Source organism: Homo sapiens, chromosome 3 (genome assembly GCF_000001405.40).
Source record: "Homo sapiens chromosome 3, GRCh38.p14 Primary Assembly".
In the NCBI taxonomy this organism is placed as follows: domain Eukaryota; kingdom Metazoa; phylum Chordata; class Mammalia; order Primates; family Hominidae; genus Homo; species Homo sapiens.
Genome location: NC_000003.12, coordinates 56,898,066 through 56,920,259, shown reverse-complemented (window position 1 = coordinate 56,920,259; position 22,194 = coordinate 56,898,066). Strand labels below are relative to the sequence as shown.

General features: G+C 43.1%; 1 protein-coding gene across 16 annotated transcripts in view, besides 5 other annotated features; it reads left to right on the top strand.

Moving 5' to 3' along the window:
* ARHGEF3 (Rho guanine nucleotide exchange factor 3) overlaps window positions 1–22,194 on the top strand; it is a 351,849-nt gene that overhangs the window by 159,009 nt on the left and 170,646 nt on the right. For 2 of the 16 annotated variants that reach the window (XM_047448227.1, NM_001289698.2), the window contains exon 1: window positions 3,824–3,951. The exons of the other annotated variants lie outside the window; for them this stretch is intronic. In XM_047448227.1, coding sequence (XP_047304183.1) covers window positions 3,901–3,951 — 51 coding nt within the window. In that variant the 5' untranslated portion in view covers window positions 3,824–3,900. Of the gene's footprint in view, window positions 1–3,823; window positions 3,952–22,194 lie in introns of those variants that run through there. 16 annotated transcript variants of the gene reach the window in all.
* Window positions 3,359–3,448: an enhancer, noted in NCBI's record as "active region_19984". NCBI's record gives its function as "activates an Ori minimal core promoter by ATAC-STARR-seq in GM12878 lymphoblastoid cells {active_cell/tissue: GM12878}" and the evidence as "EXISTENCE:reporter gene assay evidence [ECO:0000049][PMID:35858748]".
* Window positions 3,359–3,925: a biological region, named in NCBI's record as "H3K4me1 hESC enhancer GRCh37_chr3:56950363-56950913".
* Window positions 3,375–3,925: an enhancer, noted in NCBI's record as "H3K4me1 hESC enhancer chr3:56950363-56950913 (GRCh37/hg19 assembly coordinates)". NCBI's record gives its function as "activates a minimal SCP1, AML or CMV promoter by ChIP-STARR-seq in naive H9 embryonic stem cells {active_cell/tissue: H9 hESC(naive)}" and the evidence as "EXISTENCE:reporter gene assay evidence [ECO:0000049][PMID:30033119]".
* Window positions 3,926–4,478: an enhancer, noted in NCBI's record as "H3K4me1 hESC enhancer chr3:56949810-56950362 (GRCh37/hg19 assembly coordinates)". NCBI's record gives its function as "activates a minimal SCP1, AML or CMV promoter by ChIP-STARR-seq in naive H9 embryonic stem cells {active_cell/tissue: H9 hESC(naive)}" and the evidence as "EXISTENCE:reporter gene assay evidence [ECO:0000049][PMID:30033119]".
* Window positions 4,259–4,328: a silencer, noted in NCBI's record as "silent region_14475". NCBI's record gives its function as "represses an Ori minimal core promoter by ATAC-STARR-seq in GM12878 lymphoblastoid cells {active_cell/tissue: GM12878}" and the evidence as "EXISTENCE:reporter gene assay evidence [ECO:0000049][PMID:35858748]".

The following is a 22,194-nucleotide window of genomic DNA, read 5'->3' as shown; positions in this document are numbered from 1 at the left end:
CAGGGTTCATCTTTGCATCGTAGGCACCCTATAGGTAGTTTCCTGTGTATAAATATATGATTCAACTCTATATACTGAAAGAAAAATACCATACCCTGAAAACCTATGCCCCCAGAATTTTGTAGGTTTTTTTCCCCCTTTTAACATTTCTCTCCAATCTATGTAGAATTTATGTTGGATGAGTATGAAGAAGGGCTTTAAAATGAGGCTTTTCATTCCAAGAGGCAAGTGAATTGTCCCATTGTTAGCGATCCTTCTCTAGTGGTTTGTGCTCTAATATGTCAGATTCTTGAATATCCCAGAGCAGGTTTCTCGCTGTGTCTTCTGAGGGCTGTATGCTTGTAGCAGGAGCTCTGAAGTAAGCTTGCTAGGCCCCACTCCTGACCAACCTCACCACCTCTAGGCCACGTGCCATGGGTAGGCGTACACCACCTTTTTGAGTCTCAGTTTTTTTAAATCTGCAAAAAGAAAGATAATAATAAGGCCTACTTTGGGACTGTTGTGAGGATCACGTGGGAAAATACATGGTAAGTGCTCATATTAAAACATAAAAAATCCTTAGTCGCTGTGGTTTCAGTAATTGTGGCTGTATGATATGTTAATATCCACACACAGGTGCACTTTCATCATGAGTTATCAACATTGGCAGAGGTAAGAGGAATGGACAATGAGAAGTGACATTTCAAGTGTATCTTTCGTATTTGCTAAATGTCCACAGGGCAGGTGGCTAAATGAGTTAATTTCCTTCCATACCATAGCATGCTCTGCAGTAAGAGGTCAAAAATGTGCGTGACAGGGAAAGATGCCCTGGATGTTAAATGAAAAAAGAAGCAAGTGGTAGAACAATGTTATCATTCTATTTTTGAAAAAAATAAGATGTTACACCCAGCAACTCGTGTTTTTAGACAGAAGGAAATGTCTGGAAGGATTACCACCAGAGGGTGCAAACTGGTGGCCCCTGGGCCAAATGTAGCCAGCAACTGTGTTATGTGGCCCATACAGTACTTCTTATGGTGATGAATAGTTGCCAGCATTTACAAATTGAGAGATTTTACATAAAACCCTGAATTTCAGGCTTCTATTGAAAAAATTAGAATGTCTGCTCACCCTGGATGATTAACCCCTTAGGAACCCGAAAAGCTGGAACTGACCTAAGACAAAAACTCTCAGTGGTGCCCCAGTGCCCACCTGGCCTTTTCTTTCAGGTACCTGACCCCTGCTCCTAAATCCTTTTGGGTTTATGAACCTCTGTCTACGTCTGGCTTTTTAACACCAGTGCATCCAGCAAATGGGATCGGGATAGAAAAAAAAGTAGGGCCTTTGGGAAGACTCACTTTTTACTTTATATACTTCTTTGTGGTTTGAATGTGTATACTTCTGTGTGGTTCGAATGTGTGACAGTGATGCTATGTTACTATTAAAATGTAAAAACCAATACATAAACATGTTTGAATACTTAGTAGTATCCTAGATGCCATAGAGAAGACTCCTGTTCCTTTTGATATCCCATTATAAAGCTCAAAATGAACGTGGACCTTGCGGATCAGAGCCTCTTACTATTGAAATTCTCCTCTTGAAGTGCCTTCTTCATGGACCCATTTCAATCCGGGAGTTCTTGCTTCTGGTCAGAGCAAGGGCATCAGAGGAGACGGCCGTGCCCTGTTTTTGCTTCCTTTTTGCAGGCTTGCATCCCTTTCCCCTGCCAGGGCATCTGTTGGCCCTCTCTCTGCCCCTCCCTGCTCCACTGCTACCTGCCCTGGAGCCCCTCAAGTTTCACCTCTTGCACGAAGTGCTGCAGCCCACGGGTTTCAGTTCTTCTTTCCCATTCAGTCAGCAGCCGGAAGTTAGGTTGAATCATTCTAGGATTTGTTCATGTGAATGTTTCCTTCCTCCTCTCCAAAGAAATAAAACGTACAATGCCCTGGTCGTCTCACATTTCCAGTGAATCCTTACTGGGGTGAGGCTGGCCTTGGCTGCTGGGACTCCTTGAAGTGGCTTGTCAGAAAATACTCCAAGAGAGGAATGGCTGGGTGATGGAGCCTCCCGCATTTCCCAGGGCACTGTCTTTCTTCATCGGCTGAATTGTCCCCAAAGCTAGCTAATCTCAAGTTGTTTACAGGCTTGTTCAAATTTAGGACCCTTCCTGTGTAGGAGGCTGGAACAAGACGCCTTAGGAATACCTGCCCTTACCCCTCCACCAGCCACCACTTAACCAGCTTGCTTTGTGGGGAGTCAGGCTTTAGGAAATAGGGAATCCCAAGGACAATCTGAAACCCACCTCTCAGTGGACACTGTCATTTGATCTGACACTCATTACCGAGTGCTTCCAGGTGCTAGCTCCATGGTGACCCAGATGCTTGCCTGAAAGGCGTAAGGCTTTTTACAGTGATTTCACTTCCTCCTTTCTCTAAGCAGGTGTGATTCCCTCACACTTTTTGAAGCAAGACCCAAGCCTGTCAGTTCAGCTTCCAGACCTATTAAAGTACTTGGTGTCTTCCAAAATACCCTGTAGTTCTGCACTGCCTTGCTGTTGAGTTTGCCAGTTCTTTTGCCTAGAACACCCATCAGAACGCTGCCCATGTGTCTCTGGCTCTGAGAACCCTTCTCAGACTTTGTCCCCATGAAAATGCATTTGCCAAGCTCACTTATTTCCTGGACCCCTCAGCACTTTTTGCAAATTTCTGGCAACGTGAATGGAAAGAGCCTGCTTTCTCATAAAAGTCTTGGATTTAATCTCCTTCTGTTAGACCGGAAGCTTGTTGTTCAAATGAACCTGCTGTCTTTGCTGGGTCCCCAGACTTTACTCAGGCTTGAGACAGAGGAAGGCTCTTAAAAATCCGTGCATTTGTAAGAAGGCCCCAGGAAACCCTGGGCTAAATCTTAACAGCTAAAATTTGTAATTAGGAAGATTTTTGCAAGTCAAATACTACCCCATTAGATAACTAAAATAAATAAATAAATAATTGAGAACTACACTGGAGTTATGTCTCCTTGAGTTTGAGACCTTCTGCCAATGTGCAAGGAGGGTGAGAGTGCTGGTTTGTTTGTGGGGAAGGAGTGAGCCAGGCATAGTTTTCAATCTGAAACCTTGTAGTTTCCTATGAGACAAGTCTACCTCACCCAAGAGGTCTGGGTTTTTTATAAGGCAAGGAACTGGAGCAAGATGTTCATTCTGGTGAGATCCCCACTTCATAAAACAAGAAATGTCAGCCATGAATTATTTCCATAATAGCTCTGAGCAGGAAGACCTCTTGTTATCCATGACAAAAGTTGAAAGGGAGGTTTCCAGAAGCAGCTATTTTGAAAGGGCTCTGAAGAGAAGATGCCAGGTTTGCATAAGACAAAAAGAAACGGATGGGTGTGTAGTTGCTTTTGAACCGCGACTCAGTGTGGGCTCTGTATCCCGGACAGGGCTACTGATTCTTGGGTAAAGTTCAAGTAGATCATTGATTCCTCTTTGAAGACCCAAAGCTCTCCTCCCAGTGTCCCTTCTCCTAGTGATGCTTTATTTTCTATTTCACCCCAGTGTTTGGGTCTGCAAAGCTCCAGGCAGCACAGCCGCTGCAGCCGATGGGATGCTTCACATTGCTTTTGGTGGGGACCCAGTGAGCACTGTTTGTCTCTTACAGGCTGGGGATTGTCAGTCAGAAACTGAACTTCTGGTGTACCTTTGAATGCCCAAAGAGTGCTCTGCAAAAGCAGCAGTAGCAGGAGAGGTGGGGAGCTCTTGACTGGTGCGGCTCTCAGCCTCTGACACTTGTAACTGATGGCCCCTGTCACTTCCTGTCATGCAGCCCAAGTGGCGGGGAGGAGTTCCTTCAGGGAAACTATGCTCAGCCCTGTTCAGAGAATCCTGTGCACAGGGCTCCACTGCAGTTAGGAGCCGGTGAGTCCGGGTGGATGAGGTCAGAGCGCCCCATGGTGTGGTGCTGCCTCTTTGTCCGTTCGCAGGTAAGCCCCCTGCTGCTGAGCCTGGGATGGGCCGGCTCTCAACTCCCACCCGAGCCGGGTGGGGTGGTGCCAGGATCTGAGGTGTGGGAGGATGCAGTGTTCTCTTTACCTTCCAAGAAACTGATCAGGGAGCTGCTGTTAAAAGCACCTGGGATGATGGAGCCAGATTCCCGCCTCACTTTCGTATGAATCAGAAGAGCACTGTGTGGCTGTGTTTAAGACCGCAGATGGCTTTGCTTGGTTGCGAGGGTGAGCTGAGTGGCGTGCATAGCTGTCAGGGCCTCCTTTAGCATAAGTGATTGGAGGGGAACAAAGGGAAGGGCTTTTCACGCTCTGCTGTGCAATGCTACTGTTTTAATTTTTGTAAGAGAATGGTTTTAATTAATGGGAAGGAAAAGAGGGAAAAGAAGGATGCATCTGCCTTCTGTTTTGTTGTTGCTATTTAATCACAAAGTGGATTTCCAAGATCTTCTCTTTTTCTTTGGATTGGAAGATGGCTAAACTCAGTTTTAGAAGTTCATGCTGGTTGGAGCAACTGTTTTGTAGATTTCCCTAAAGTGATCCTGGTGTTTTGAGTCTGTTTATTATTGGGAGAGTGAAGTCAGATATTATCAGTGGAGACTCAGACTTGATACCATTCTCATTAAGAACATCGTTTTTTGGTTTGGGTTATTTTGGAAAGAGTGTCTGGAAATGTTATATTTCCATGGGTTGAAGAATGGTTAGGAGCTCTGAAGGTTACATTCCCTATCCCTTTTATTTATTTGTTTTTTGTAGAGGTAGTTGTTAAAGTTTTGGATGAGCCAAAACTGTTCTTTATTTGTTTGTTTGTTTTTGTTTTTTGAGACAGAATCTTGCTCTGTCATCCACGCTGGAATATAGTGGCACAATCACGGCTCACTGCAACCTTGACCGCCCGGGCTCAAGCAGTCCTCTTGCCTCAGCCTCCCGAGTAGCTGGGACTACAGGCATACACCACCATGCCCTGCTAATTATTTCATTTTTTTTTGTGGAGACGTGGGTCTTACTATGTTGCTCAGGCTCATCTTAAACTCTGAGCTCAAGCAATCCTCCTTGAGCTCAAGCTTCAGCCTCCCAAAGTGCTGGGGTTAGAGGCATGAGCCACTGCACCTGGCCTGCCAAAACTGTTTTTTAAAGGCAATGCCCATTGCTTTTTCTATTCTTCTCATCAGAACTATGTTCCTGGGACTGATTTCTGTAACCCTAATTCCAGCTCTTGTGTATGACCATTCTAGACATACTAATTTTTTTTCAATTTTTTTTATTGTGGTAAAATACATATAACACATAATTTACCATCTTGACTATTTTAAGTATATAGTTTTGTGATATTAAATACATTCATAATGTTGTGCAACCATCACCACCATCCATCTCCAGAACTCTTTTCACCTTGCAAACTGAAACTCTATACTCGTTAAACAATAACTCTCCATTCTTCCCTCCCCCATCCCCTGGCAACCACCATTCTACTTTCTGTCTCTGTGATTTTGATTACTCTAAGTATCTCATATAAGTAGAGTCAAACAGTATTTGTCTTTTTTTGACTGGCTTATTTCACTTTGCATAATGTCCTCTGGGTTCATTCAAGTTGTAACGTGTGTCAGAATTCCCTTCCTTTAAGAATATTCCGTTATTGTACATGGTGGTAATATTGCGTGGAGCTCTGAAGGTTAACAGAGAAACAAATACTCAATTTCTCTGTGAATATACGACACTATTGCATGATTATATGTAGTACATATTTTGCATTTCATTATTACCTCTAATAGTGATTGAAAACTACCCTCTGTATTACAAGGCTGAAAGATTTGAGAGCTGTTTACTGCATGCCCCACATTAAACAGTTTTTCTTGTCAATTAATATTGTTAAACGGTGACATACCACATTTTGCTTATCCATTCATCCTTGGATGGGCCTTGGGTTGCTTTCATGTTTTAGCTGTTGTGAATAATGCTGCTATGAACATGAATGTACAAATATCTCTTAAGACCCTGCTTTCAATTTTTTTCCCATAAGTCATTAGAGTACAGCTAGTATTTGGTTACATGAGTAAGTTCTTTGGTAGTGATTTGTGAAATTTTGTTGCACCCATCATCCAAGCAGCATACACTGCAACCTATTTGTAGTCTTTTATCCCTCACTCCTCTCTCACCCTTCCCCTCAAGTCCCCAAAGTCCATTATATCATTCTTATGCCTTTGCGTCCTCATAGCTTAACTCCCACATATCAGTGAGATCATACGTTGTTTGGTTTTCCATTCCTGAGTTACTTCACTTAGAATAATAGTCTCCAGTCTCATCCAGGTTGCTGCAATGCCGTTAATTCATTCCTTTTTATGGCTGAGTAGTATTCCATTGTATAAATATACCACGGTTTATTTATCCACTCCTCGATTGATGGGTGTTCCATGATTTTGCAGTTGCGAATTGTGTTGCTATAAACATGCATGTGCAAGTATCTTTTTCGTATAATGACTTCTTTTCCTCTGGGTAGATAGCCAGTAGTGGGATTGCTGAATCAAATGGTAGATCTACTTTTAATTCTTTAAGGAGTCTCCACACTGTTTTCCATAGCAGTTGTACTAGTTTACATTCCTGCCACCTGCTTTCAGTTTTTTTGAGTATATACCCAGAAGTAGAATTGCTAGAACATACAGTAATTCTATTTTGAATGTTTTGAGTAACCGCCATACTGTTTTCCACAATGGCTATTCCATTTTATATTCCCACCTACAGTGCACAAGGGTTCCAGTTTCTCCACATCCTCACCAACACTTCTAATTTTGATTTTTTTTCAATAGTAGCCATTCTAATAGGTGTGAAGTGGTATCACCTTGTAGTTTTGATTTGAATTTCTCTGATTATTAGTGATGTTGAGCATCTCTTCGTGTGCATTATTGGCCATTTGTATGTCTTCTTTGCAGAAATGTCTGTTCAAGTCCTTTGCTCACTTTCGAATTGGGTTGCTTATTTTTTTTGCTATTGAGTTTTAGGAGTTCTCTACATATTCTGAATATTAATCTCTTTTCAGATATATTATATGCAAATATATTATCCCATTCTTTGTGTTGTCTCTTTGTTTTGTTGACATTGTTTAGACATAGTTTTTTTTGTTGTTGTTGTTGTTTTTTTTTTTAGGAGACAAGGTCTTGCTCTGCCTTGCTCGAGCCCAGGCTCGAGTGCAGTGGCACAATCATAGCTCACTGCAGCCTTGAACTCCTGGGCTCAAGCAGTCTTCCCACCTCAGCCTCCTGAGTAGCTGGGACTACAGGTATGCACCACCATACCCAGCTAATTTTTTAACTTTTTTGTCAAGACCAGGTATTGCAATGTTGCCCAGGCTCGTCTTGAACTCCTGGCCTTAAGTGATCATCCCACCTTGGCCTTCCAAAGTGCTAGGATTATAGACGCAGGCCACTGCATGCCCCCCAGATGTATATTTTTAATACTTTGATGTGACTGGGGTAATTTCAGCCTTTCCCCATCTCACTCACCTCACTATTTGTTCTCTTGACAAAGAATAATTTTTGAGTCTTTCAAGTATGAAAGTTGACAATATTCAAATGATTGATTACATGTCAGTGATAGTTAATACAATGTTAATAACAATATAATACGATAATAACTTACATTTATTAGATGCTTATCTAAACACTTTACTCAGATTTGCTCATGAAAGTCTTACAACACTGTAGGGATTGGCTACTATCATTATTCTTGTTTTGCAGATGGCAAAACTGAGATTTACAGAAGATAAATAATTTGTCTAGGTCACCTACATGGTTAAGTAGTGGATCAGGTTTCAAACCCAGGAAGAATGGATTCAGAAATGATGTTTTTAGCCATTAGGTGCTATGTGATAACTTTAATGTGGGGTCCTTCCCAGATCTCCTATTATGTGCAACATCTGCAGTAACACTTTGCTTTCCAATGATTTGGTAAGTTATCCCATTTTGGTGAATGTTTGCTGTGGTCCAGTTAGTGCCTAAGTAAGAGGCACCTATGACAAGTCACTACTTTCTCTGGACTCAGTTTCCCCACTTGTCAAATCAGAGATGTCTCTAAACTCATTTTAGCTCAGATATGAATCTAAAGTATGCAAATATCTTGCACAAAAAGTCAAAAATAGTTTTCATATCTGCCCTACTTCAAAGTCAAATGATTTAATGAATGATTTAATGAATGATTTAATGAATGTGTTTAAGTACACATTTCCCAAGGATATCAACTAGAACTCAAAATGTAATTGGCTGACTAGCTACTTTATTCTGCTTATGAACATATATATGTATATATATATGTGTGTATATATATATGTGTGTGTATATATATATGTAATTTTTTTTTTCTTTTAGAGACAGTCTTGCTCTGTCGCCCAGGCTGGAGTGCAGTGGCATGATCATAGCTCACTGCAGCCTTCACTTTTTGGGCTCAAGTGATCCTCCCCCATCGGCCTCTGGAGTAGCTCAGACCTTAGTGTGTAAGGGCTTAGCAACAACAGGACTCTGAAGCACCTATGTCCTGAGGTAAACATGGACGTAGTTTGATTTTGTGGAGGGAAGGAAGCAGCATATTCGATGCAAGGTGGAGACTGCATTTTAAAGCCACTATTCTAGCCATGTTTTTACAGCTTGCCCAGGACGCCAAGTAGGAGCCATGGAAGGGGAAGTTGATTCAAACTAGATCCTAAAAAGGCCTCTCTTGATGGAACACTCAGACGTGTGACTCGGAGCGGGCAAGGTCAGAGTGGTGACCCCAGCTGTTCACCGGGACAGAAACAATGGGTGGCTTTAGGACCTAAATATAGACAAAGTGGATGTCACTTAGGGAAACTCATTCCTGATACTGGCCGGGGTGGGCAGTTCTCTTGGGAAGCAGCTCCTGTGTGCCAACCCTTGCTCTGCCAGCCCTCTTTTTCTGAATATCTCTGTCCATATTCTAGCTTCCCTGCATTCTTTGGGCACCTGCCTCAGCTTGGCAGCTTTGAAATAACCCATGACAGATCCTTATTTCCCCATCTCTCCCTTCCAAGTCTTCCTTGCAGTGCTTACCACCTCTCTCCTTTACCTCTCACAGACCCCACCCAGCCCCTGCCATAAACCCCAGGTGTCCTCTCCACCATATTCCTTGTGGAGGGACGAGAGCACTGGGCTAGGAGTCAGGAATCTGAGGATCAAGTTCTGGATTTTGCAGTTAACCCTGGGCAAGGCTAAACTTCCCCAGTACGAGGTTCTCCAAGCAGAACCAGTGGAGACGTAGCCATCAAGGACTGAGATCCTGGAGGTTGCAGCCTGAAGTCAAATCCTCACTGTCACTTACTCTGTGACCTTGTTCAAGTTCCTTACCTCTCTGGGCCTCAGTTTCTTCACCTGCAGGATGAAGATGCTGATAGTACCTGCCTCATAGGGTATCAGGAATTTATAAGATAATATCTGTGAAGCGCTTCAAACAGCTTATCTTGTTAGTGCTCAAAAATGCTCACTATGATTATGATTGTGATTTTTAGGAAAAAGAGACTTGAAATAGATCAGTGTTTCCCAAATTTCACTCACATTTTTCATATCCACATACCACCGGTACTATTATTTTTCAGTTACTGTATTTCTTTAAATTATCTCTTTTTCGTTTCTGTTTTTGGCTTTTTAGGTTTGGGTTTTTTGGTTTGTTTTTGTTTATTTTTTAGACTTAGACACATCCTAAGCAGTAATAGCCCTGAAATCACAGGTTGGAAATGTGTTTCCTAAAACATATTATAATAAATATATACAGGTCTATTGCATATGGTCTGAGATTATATTATATCACCAGTGGGGTCCACTTTACATGCTTTGGGGACTGCAGAACCAGTGGCTCTGAGCATCTGAGGTCCAGTTTGCTGCCTCTAGTGATTTTGACTGTACTCATCCCATCTTTCCATCAATCAGGCACTGCCTGAGAACCATCTTTGTGCTGGATTCTGCGCCAGGTGCCAAGGTGGCCAAAATATGGGTCTTTGGAGTCCCCACTATCTTCTTTGAATGGAACATTACCAGCCCAGAGAAAATGGGGGAGAGAGGGACACACACAAAGTGACCTAATTTCTGAAACTCCATCTTAAAAGTAAGAAAAGCCAGGGCCACTCTCCCTGCCTGAAACCTCTGGAGTTGGGTAAAGGAGATCGTCTCAGTCAGCTTTTGCTGAGTAACAGCTACCCCGAAACTCAGTGGCAAACAATAACAAACATTTACTCTTATGCTTATAAGTGCGCAAGTTGGCTGGGGTGGTCTGTCCTACATGGGTTCATTCTGGACAGTACTACTCACGTATATATTCTTCTCTTGTGGAGCAAGCAGAAACACATGATGTCTCGTAAGATGTAGGCTCAGAGTTGGTACACTGTCTCTTTCACCTCACAGGATCAAGCCATGGATGTCAGGGAAAGGCATAAATATTTGCTGAAGAATAAATTGATCTACCACCAAGATCATCACCATTTACTTACTGAACCCACATTTACTGAGTGTGTATTGTGTGAAGCACTCTGCATGTTGCTGGGAGTGGAGGGTGTTAAACGTAGTAACAGTAAGTGATGAAGGTGATGAGAACGCCTATCCCAAGGCCCGGCATGTATTAGGTCCTAAATGAATATGTGATGAATGGTGATGTACTGGTACCTCTTGAGTGCTGACTAGTGATCAGTATTTCACAGGGATTGTTTCATCTTATCTTCCCAGCCCTCTTGGGCAGATACAGCAAGCTCGGGTCAGACAAGTGCAAGGCTGTTAAATGCTTGTGATCTTCTGATATGAGAAAGGGAGAGTTGATGGAGGCATGGCAGCAGGGAGAGGCCACATGCCGTGAAACCATCCCTGATGCTGGGGAGAGAGGCAGGCTCTGCACCAGCCAAGCACAGGTTCAAATCCCTTATGTGTATATTTCCATGCGCACTTTGTGGACTGTTTTGGGCACAAACTCTTCAAGCACCCACACATACTAAGAATTTAACATGGTACTTGGCCTCTCATAGTTTCACTACATCACTAGCCCTCTGCCTTCCTGAGTTCATGTGTATCTTTGAGTATTCTCTTTAGAAAACTGCACATAGTTATGAAAATGTCTGTGTGGTCCCCTGGCTCCTGGTGAAGAACTCTGCTCTAATTTTTCACTCCATCCATTCTCCCTTCTCCTTCTTTCTCTCTCTTAAGAAATTACTCCAGAAGCGAAGCGGTGTTTTTCTGTATTTGTATGCCAGTGTCAGGTCCAGGGTCTGACTCGTATTAGCTGCCCAATGAGTGTTTTCTAACTGAGTGAGAGAATAAAGATGATAGTGTTGATGATACCTTGTTTGCATGTGCATAGCGTCAGGGAATTTTTGAACTGAATGAGATAGAACATACATGTGCATGTGTCATTATGATAGAATAATTTCTCTTCCTTTGGGTATATACCCAGTAATGGGATTGCTGGGTCAAATGATATTTCTGTTTTAAGGTCTTTCAGAAATCACCACACATAGCATCCAACCCCTTTATTTTCTGGATTATAAAACTAAGACTGGATTATAAACCTTACCCAAAGGCATACAGCTAATAATAATAATATTATGATTATAATTAACATTTCCCCCCAAGCAGATACAATTAGATCTCATTCCCTCAGTACCTTTTCAGAATACAGGGTCCATTCTGATGTATCAGTTTTATGGATCATGTTGCAAAACTGAGTTGTCTTGTCCCTCGTATCTGAAGCCAAAGACATGGATGAGAGAAACATATTCCACATCTCAACTGCAGAACCATTATGGTGTGAGCCCCTTAGGGCAAAGTGCTTGTCACCTCACCTCTTTCTCTGGATCTCCCCTTTCCACTCTGTCCTTCAGTTCTTGCCCAGAGCTGTGTATACGGACGCGGAGATGGGGACATTTGTGCTGAGGCTGGTCAAGCTGTGGGTGGAAGGTGGATTACAGACAGAGCAAGGGAGGAATTTGTTCCTGCAGAGTCCTGGAAATCTTATTTGGAGCTGTTCTTCTATTCTTAGTTTCGAAGGCACTTTGTTCTCTGGTGCATTGTTTTAACAGCCATCAGGAAATCAGTCCCCGCTCGGGGTCACTGGTGTCTGCCTGTGGCTGCCCAGGTGGGAAGTGTACTGGTTTGTTGCAGGGTTGATCCTTTGTCATCAGGATCATTGTAGCCCTTTCTCCTTTTGTTGCCCAGCCTGTCTGCCTGGGGCAGGGAAGGGTAAGGAGGCTCTTTTTCTTTGTAGCAATGATAACTGTACTTCTTTTGTTCTTTTAAGTTCAGGGGTACATGTGCAGGTTTGTTTTATAGGTAACCTTCTGTCATGGGGGTTTGTTGTATCGATTATTTCATCACTAAGGATTAAGCCCAGTACCCATTAGTTATTTTTCCCAATCCTCCCTGTCCTCCCACCCTCCACCCTCTGATAGGCCCCAGTGTGTGTTGTTCCCCTCTGTGTGTCCATGTGTTCTCATCATTTAGCTCCCACTTATAGGTGAGAACATACAGTATTTGGTTTTCTGTTCCTGCATTAGTTTGCTAAGGATAATGGCCTCCAGCTTCATCCATGTTCCTGCAAAACACATGATCTCATTCTTTTTATGGCTGCATAGTATTCCATGGTGTATATGTACAACTTTTTCTTTATTTAGTCTACCGTTGATGGGCATCTAGGTTGATTCCATGTCTTTGCTATTGTGAATAGTGCTACAACGAACATACATGTGCATGTGTCATTATGATAGAATGATTTATATCCCTTTGGGTATATACCCAGTAATGGGATTGCTGGGTTGAATGATATTTCTGTTTTTAGGTCTTTATTATTATTTAGGTCTTTCAGGAATGGCCACACTGATTTCCATAATGGTTGAACTAGTTTACACTCCCACCAACAGTGTATAAGCAAATAACTGCATTTATTTCTATGTAAAAAGAAAGATGCTAAAATCGGGCCTCCATAGCGTTGTGCCCTCTGGAGCAGTGTTGTCCAATAGAAGTAGAATGTTGGCCAGGCGCCGTGGCTCATGCCTGTAATCTCAGCACTTTAAGAGACTGAGGCGGGTGGATCACCTGAGGTCAGGAGATTGAGACCAGCCTAGCTAACATGGTGAAACCCTGTCTCTACTGAAAATACAAAATTAGCTGGGCGTGGTGATGCAGGCCTGTAATCCCAGCTATTTGGGAGGCTGAGGCAGGAGAATCACTTGAACCCAGGAGGCAGAGGTTGCAGTGAGCTGGGATTGTGCCATTGCACTCCAGCCTGGGCAACAAAAATGAAACTCCATCTCAAAAAAAAAAAAAAAAAAAAAAATAGAATGTGAGCCACAATCGCGATTTTAAGTTTCTTAGTAACCACATTAAAATAAGTAAAAAGAAGCAGACAACATTAATTTTAACAGTACATTTTAACTCAGTATATTTCTTTCTTTCTTTCTTTCTTTTTTTTTTTTGAGACAGAGTCTCGCTCTGTCGCCCAGGCTGGAGTACAGTAGTGTGATTTTGGCTCACTGCAACCTCTTGCCTCGCAGGTTCAAGTGATTCTCCTACCTCAGCCTCCCGAGTAGCTGGGATTACAGGGGCCTGCCACCACGCCCAGCTAATTTTTGTATTTTTAGTAGAAACGAAGTTTCACCATGTTTGCCAGGCTGGTCTCGAACTCCTGACCTCAGGTGATCCACTTGCCTCGGCCTCCCGAAGTGCTAGGATTATAGGCGTGAACCACCACACCTGGCCCAAATACTAGCATTTCAACCTGCAATAGCTATAAAAATTGTTAAGAAGATGTTTTACATTCTCTTTTTCGTACCAAGTCTTTAGTATCCAGTGAGTATTGTATACTTAGAGCACATCTCAATTCAGACTAGCCACATTTCAATGTCAGTGACCACATGTGGCTTACGGTAGCCATCGGACACTGCGGATCCACAGAGCACCAGTAAGTGCTTCTTGTGACGACAGAAATGTTTTCTATCTGCTCCGTCTCATATGGAGGCCACTAGCCTCAGTTAGCTATTGAGCACTTGAAATGTGACTAGTACAGCTGAGGAGGTGCATTTTAAATTTTATTTAATTTTGATAAAATGTGAATTTAAACAGTCACATGTACCTCGTGGCTCCCATATTGGACTGGGCGCGGTTGCTCACACCTGTAATCCCAGCACTTTGGGAGGCCAAGGTGGGCAGAGCACGAGATCAGGAGTTTGAGACCAGCCTGCCCAACATGATGAAACCCGATCTCTACTAAAAATGCAAAAATTAGCCAGGCGTGGTGGCAGGCGCCTGTAATCCCAGCTACTCGGGAGGCTGAGGCAGAAGAAATGCTTGAACCCTGGAGGCTGAGGTTGCAGTGAGCTGAGATCGTGCCACTTCACTCTAGCCTGGCAACAGAGTGAGACTCCGTCTCCAAAAAAAAGAAGTGAATTTAAACAGTCACATGTACCTAGTGGCTCCCGTATTGGACAGCACAACTCTAGAGATTTGATGTTATTAGAAAAATATCAGTTTAAACTTGACCAGGGTATCATTTCTCACCTACCATGTTGGCAGAAATTAGAAAGTTGGATAATGCTGTTCGAGGAGGGGAACAACCTTTTATACATGGCCAGTAGGAGTATAAATTACAGCAGGCTTTATGGAGGCCAATTGGCAATGTTTAGCAAACTTACAAATACACATTCCCTTGACCCCAACAGTTCTGTTTCTGGATATTAATGCTACAGAGTCTCTTATGCGTGTAGGCTGGTTTATGTAGAAGGATATTTGCTGCAGCAGAAGATTGGAAACTACATACATACTCAGTCAATGGGGACTTAAATAAATACATTATTGCACATTTTAAAAATGTAATTTGCAACTACTGAAAAAAATTGATTATTTCATAGCATGGAAGGCTTTCCCAAATATAGTGTTAAGCAAGTGTAGAGCAGTACCTATAGTGTGTTAGCATTGGGTAAAATAGATGATTTGCTTATTTATGTCTAGGGCTGGTCTGGAAGAATGCAGAAGGAAGCGATGGCTGGGATGTGAGAGAGGTTGACATCATCATATGGTGCCTATACCCTTTTGGAATTTAATCCTGTGCATGTGTATATTACCTATTCAAAAAATGAATACCTAAAAAATAAAAAGAGAAAACTCTAAGGGAAAGGTGAATCAGAGAAGGCTTCCTAGAGAAAATGACCTTTGGACTGGATTGTAAAAGATGCATAGGAGTCCTTCAGGCAGGAGGAAGGCTGAGGCTCAAAGGCGTGAATGAGTGGGATGGGTTCAGTCATCCATATGTACCCAGCAGTGGCAGAGTATTCGGTGTATTAAAGAGCAGAGTAATGGAGTTTCGACATGCATGACTAGCTAGATGGGAGAGGTTTTGTGAGTAGAGTTTGGACTTAACTCTGAACCAGAGGAGCCAGAAATGGTTCGAAGGAAATGGGAAGTAACATGCTTGTATTGGTATGAATGACAGCTTTGGTGGAGTGGTGAGTGGCCTGAAAGAGTGGTTCTCAAAGTGTGATCTGAGGAGCCCTAGGAGTCCCCAAGGCCTAGAGGGTACTGACGACATAAATACAAAACAGATGTTCTTTGTATGTGTCTCTGTATGTGTCGACCAAATAACAAATCATAGCAGCTTGATTGCAGGAGCAGATGTATGAATCCAGCTGTCTTCTGTGCAGCCAAACATTAGAGTAGTCAAAACAGAGAACAATGTTACTCCTCTCATGTTTTTTTGAAAATATAGTTAATTTTTATTAAAATATGGTAATTAGATTAACAAGTAATATGTTTATTTTTAAAAGAATAAATATTTTTGAAATGTCTCAGTTTTGGCTGGGCCTGGTGGCTCACGCCTGTAATCTCAGCACTTTGGGAGGCCAACGTGGGAAGATCGCTTGAGCCCAGAAGTTTGAGACCATCCTGTCAACATAGCGAGACTCCATCTCTACAAATAATTTTTTAAAAGGCTGGGTGCAGTGGCTTATGCCTGTAATCCCAACACTTTGGGGGCCAAAGTGGGAGGATTGCCTGAGCCCAGGAGTTTGAGACCAACCTGGGCCACCTGGCAAATCTCATCTCTACCAAAGAAAATACAAAAGTTAGCTGGGCATGGTGGCACGTGCCTGTAGTCCCAGCTACTTGGGAGGCTGAGGTGGGAGGATAGCTTAAGCTGGGGAAGCAGAGGTTGCAGTGAGCTGAGATTGCAACACTGCACCCAGGCCTGGGTAACAGAGCTAGACCCTGTCTCAAAAAATACATATATATATATATTTAGGCATGGTAGCATGTACCTGCTTCCAGCTACTTGGGAGGCTGAGGCAGGAGGATTGCCTGAGCCAAGGAGGTTGAGGCTGCAGTGAGCCGTGATCATGCCTCTGCACTCCAGCCTGGGTGAGTGAGACCTTGTCTCAAAAAAATTCTCAGTTTTATTTTCTAATACTGTGTATATTGATAGATACAACCAACATAAACAAAAGCTCATTGGGACCCTCACTAATTTTTGAAAGTATAAAAGCATCTTGAGATTAAAAAAAAAATTCAGGAACCACTGGCCTAGAAGCAGGCAGGCCCTGTGTGTTTTTAATTCTGGTTGGATTGAAATAAACTACCGGGAAACAAATGCAGCTATCCAAACAAGGGTCAGGCAGGAGGTGAGCTAGCAGGGCTGCAGCTGATGTACACTTTGCATATCCAAGTGCATAGTAGGGTATGGGTGGTGTCTGTTAAAGAAGGAGCTTAGTTGATGGATTGGTTTTGACTGATGAGAATGTTGGTGCATGTCCTATATTTCATTTTCCCACTAGTGGATGCTTCTGTTATTTCCAGTCCTTTGCTGTTATAAACATCCTGGACATGTCTGCAAGTGCCCTTGGGCAAGACATTCTCTAGAGTATCTCTCTAAAAGTGGAACACTGAGCAGTAAGACATTCACATTTTCAGCATGCCTGGAAGCTGTCAAGTTGCTATCCAATCTGTGACTCTCCCTCTAGCCTTGTATGAGAGCCCTGATGTCTCCAAACCTTCATATTATCAGACTTTTCAATTTTGCCAATCCCAGAGTGTGAAATGGCATCTTGCTTTAATCCCTCTCCCACGATGACCCCTACCTCCATTCTGTACCTTGGAGCATAACTCTGAATTGTAGGCAATTCAGCAGAAGTCTTTGTCACCAGGAAACTTGGGGTTCGTTCTCTCTCTCTCTCTCTGTGTGTGTGTGTGTGTGTGTATGTTTAGAGAGGGGACACACAGAAGCAAATTCTGTATTCTGCTTCCCTGGATGAGGAAGGAGGAAAAAACTGGGACACTGTTCTTTATTTTAGACAGAAATTGCCCAGTCAGCTGTTACTGTTCTTGTGGCATTTGCTGTCATTTGGGGCTACTTGGGTCCTCAGTGAAGGAAGAGAAAACAGGCCTCTCTGTTGCCTGACTTGGGTTGGTGTTTGGGGTAAGGCCCAGTCTGAGGCATTAAGCTGAGACCTAAGGCTTTGGGCACACAAGTGTAGTGTGAGAGTATAAGTCTCCTTCTCTGGTCTGCTCACATGTCCTCACCTGGGTCAGGCCTTCTTGCAGGCCTGAAACCAGGGCCAGCTTCACTGGCCTGCAACCTGGGCAGGCACACAGGGTCCTCATTCAGAAGGGCCATGTGCCCGCTTCAGTGCTCTACTATAGTCATCTCGAAACTCAGTACTTTTTGGACAAAGGGCCCCACATTTTTATTTTGTGTCAGGTCCTGCAAATTATATAGCTAGTCCTGCCTGAAGTATCTTTGTGTCTCTCAGACTAAAAAGGATGTAGGGAGAGGGGTACAGTTCTGTGGGTGGCCCTGTTCTCTCTGCTCTGTGCAGGGCCTGCCTCCCACTGTGAGCTGCAAAGCTCTTTTGAATGAAACACTCATTTTCTCATTTCATGCATTTCTTTTCTTTTTTAAAAATCTGTCTATCTCCATCCATCTATCCACACACGCGCGCACACACATGAGATCCTCATTACTTATGATTTCATATTTGTAAGTTTGCTTACTCTCTAAAATCTGTTTCTAACGCCAGAATTAATACTCATGGCACTTGTGCAGTCATTCACAGACACATGCAGAGCAGCAAAATATTTGAGTCCCCTTAGCACGTTGCCAGCAGAAGATGAACAAGGTGATACACTGCCTTCTTGTTCTAGCTCCCATACTGTAAACAAGTATCCTTTTTGTGGTCTGTTTAGTGCCATGTTGTTCACATTGTATTTTTTGTTGGCGATTTCAGTGTGTAAGAAGGTTCTCAAGTATAATGCTGAAATGCTGTCTAGTATTTCTAAGCACAAGAGGGCTATGATGTGCCTTTTGGAGAAAATACACGTTAGATAAGCTTCTTTCAGGCTTGAGTTATGGTGTCATTGGCCATGAGTTCAATGCTACTGAATCAACAATATGTATTAAATAAGGTGTCGTTAAGCAGAAATACACATAAAACAAGGTTATGTATTGACAAAAATATTGCAGCCATGCCTGGGCAACATAGCCAGACCTCATCTCTACTAGAAATAAAAATAAAAAAATTAGTGGGGTATGGTGGTGTGTGCCTATAGTCCCAGCTACTCGAGAGGCTGAGGAGGAAGGATCACATGAGCCCAGGAGATTAAGGCTACAGTGAGCAGTGACTGTGCCACTGCACTCCAGCCTGGACAACAGAGTAAGACCCTGTCTCAAAAAAAAAAAAAAAATTACAACCAGAGGCTCACAGAAACTTAGCCCTGTATTCCCCCCAGGAGCAATGGTTTAGTATTCATTAACTCAGTGTTCACAATGACTTAATAGAACATACTACTATGAATAATGAGAGTCAACTGTATATATATATATACAGTATGTATATATATGTACATATACGTATACATACTCATATACATATACATATACATATACATATACATATACATACTTTGCCACTCTCTTGTTTACTCTCCATTTTGCCCTTTCTTCTAATCTCTTGCATTTTTGATTCACTCTCATTTGTCAGTGGTCCTTCTGACATTAGCCTTGGACCCTCAAGGGCACCAATGAAAGGGCCTTTATTCATTTATCCATGTATTTAATACACATTTGTGGATCACCTTCTTTTGCCATGCACTGGTCTATGCTGGAATCTGAACACAGACCTTATGTTTCAAAAACATTGCTTATGCATAGGGTTGTTATAATTGGTGATTTTGAGACAAAGTGAGAGTCTCATACTTATTTCTGGAAAGTGTTTCCCAATCTCTGCCATTCTCATTACCCACTTTCCACCCCTACCCAAAAACTTCTTTGGCCACATAATGTCATAAATGCATAAAATGTTAGAAGGAAACTTTAGAGGTCACCTGGGCCAACTCCGTCAGTTTACAGATAATGAAACTGAGATCCAGACTGGGAAAGTGAAATGCCTGGAGTCACAAAGCTAGTTCAATGGCCTTAAAAAAGCAGGTGACAACCCAGGTAATAATAGTTCCCAGTTGCTCTATTTTATTACTTATGTATCAGGTAAGAAAAAGATAACATCAATTGTGATCTGGTAACTTCCGATTAAAAGCATAAAACAGATTTCTATAAATTGTCTACATTGTAACAAAGCTGGAGAAAATGTATAAATGGAAGTAGAAAAATATCTAGGTTTAACCGTTGGTGGTGGTGTTGTTTTGAGACAGGATCTTGCTCTGTGGCCCAGGCTGGAGTGCAGTGGTGTGATCATGGCTCACTGCAGCTTTGACTTCCGTGGCTCAGTCAATCCTCCTGCCTCAGCCTCCAGAGTAGCTGGGACTACAGTGCGTGCCACCATGCCTGGCTAATTTATATATAGAGATTGGGTTCTGCCATGTTGCCCAGGCTGGTCTTAAACTCTGGCTGGTTTCAAGGAATCCTCCCGCCTTGGCCTCCCAAAGTGCTGGGATTACGGGTGTGAGCCACCACACCCAGCCAACTGTATTGTTTTGTTTTGTTTTGTTTTTACAAAAATATTTCTTATCTGCAATCAAGGTATCTAGATGGTTCCAGTATAGAGGGTGTTTAGATTTCTCACTTGGGTGATTTTCGTGATCCAAATACCTGTTGTTATAACACATCCAAAAGTGGGCATCACTTGGTCCTAACAATATGTAATATACATTTGCAAGCCAGGACTGTGACAACAAAGGGAGTTGGGAGGTGGGGCCTCTGCTACAAAGCCAGCCAGGAAACAGATCCATCAGCCTTCACTTCCCGTTCACTCCCCAAACCTAGCCTCCACTCTCTCCCCTCCCAAAAAGGGGAAGGAAGAAGGTTAGGTAAAGATAACGTGCCCATCTTCAAACAAAGGATGGCGAACGCTTTTGGGTCGCCCAAGCACTCCCATTTCCTGTGGCTAAAGTTAGACCTATTAGATATGAATTTCATTTTTAATCCATGACTGGGCAGACAGAGGGTTACAGTGCCAGGAGTGGTTCACATCTTCTCCAAAAAGGATGGGAAAAAGGAGGCGTCCCTTTTCAGTCATCTCAGGGCATAGGGGAACAGAGAGTTGCTTTCTCTGTACTTGTCACAGCAGCAAAATGCATGGGACAGTTACTTTGTGTGACAATTAAGAGAGGGAGCTTCCACAAAGTGTTTCCTAAGTCCCACTCATTTGTGAATCACCTTTGACCTGAAAAAGGCTTCATAATTTTCTGTAAAACAATGTATTTTTTCTTTCATATTTATATTTAATGGAAAGTTTATATTACTATGGTAAACAAAAAACCAGTATGCTTGCCATAAATAGATAAGTATCAAAATAAAATATGCACAAACTAATGTAAATAAATTCTAACTAGGTGCTATTGTCTGAGCCTCTTTGTACGTAGAAGAGAAAGATTGGGCATGGTAAACGTTAGGGGAGTATTCAAGGTGAAGTATCCTCAATTTGAGCATTTCTCTTTGAGGGATTTACGATGGACAATGAATTGACAAAGTAATAACTTTCTTGTTATGTGATCTGTTGCTGGGTAAAGAACATAAGCTGACTCTCCCGGTGCCCCACCCATATGGCCGAGGCCACTTCAGATGCCATCTGCAGGGCCTCCTGTCCACATCTTTGACTTTCTATGTCCTTCTACCTGGCAGGGTTTCTAGCCAGGGAAGCTAACATCCTGAGGAGCCCCTTTCCATCAATGAGGGGAGGAGTTGGTGGATTGAAACTCCCACCTCCTCACCCCTCAGTGGAGAATTATGCGGTGTGTTTTTTTGTTGTTGTTTTTTGTTTTTGGGACGGAGTCTCTTTCTGTCGCCAGGCTGGAGTACAGTGGTGCAATCTCGGATCACTGCAACCTCCACCTCCTGGGTTCATGCCATTCTCCTGCCTCAGCCTCCCGAGTAGCTGGGACTACAGGCGTGTGCCACCACACCCAGCTATTTTTGTATTTTTAGTAGAGACGGGGTTTCACCATGTTAGCCAGGATGGTCTTGATCTCTTGACCTCGTGATCTGCCCGCCTTGGCCTCCCAAAGTGCTGGGATTACAGGCGTAAGCCACCACGCCTGGCCATGAAGTGTGTTTTATATGCTCTCAGGGGGTCCCCAGTGGGTTGAATGCCGGCTGCCCACGGCTGTAACCTGATGGCTCCATACTCTTTATTGGCTTCCCTCCTTTTCTTTGTCTCATTTTCCCACTCCCCACCAGTTCTTCCAGGGATCACCCCAGAAGAAAACAGCTGATACTTACATCTTTGCTCCAGGATCTGCTTTAGGGGAACTCCAAACTAACAGCAGGTAAACATAAAAGAAAGAAGACTTACTAAAGAAAGAAGACTGGCCAGGCGCTGTGGCTCATGCCTGTAATCTCAGCACTTTAGGAGGCCAAGGCGAGTGGATCACCTGAGGTCAGGAGTTCGAGACCAGCCTGGCCAACATGGTGAAACCCCCTCTCCACTAAAAATACAAAAATCAGCCAGTGTGGTGGCACATGCCTGTAATCCCAGCTACTCAGGAGGCCGAGGCAGGCTAATTGCTTGAACCTGGGCAGTGGAGGTTTCAGTGAGCTGAGATTATGCCGCTGCACTCCAGCCTGGGCAACACAGCGGGACTCCATCTCATAAATAAATAAATAAGACATACCTAAAAATGTTTTTTAAAATAGATACAGGCCAGGTGCAGTGGCTCATGCCTATAATCCCAAGACTTTGAGGCTGAGGCAGGAGGATTGCTTGAGCCCAGGAGTTCGAGACGAGCCTGGGCAACAAAATGAGACCCCGTC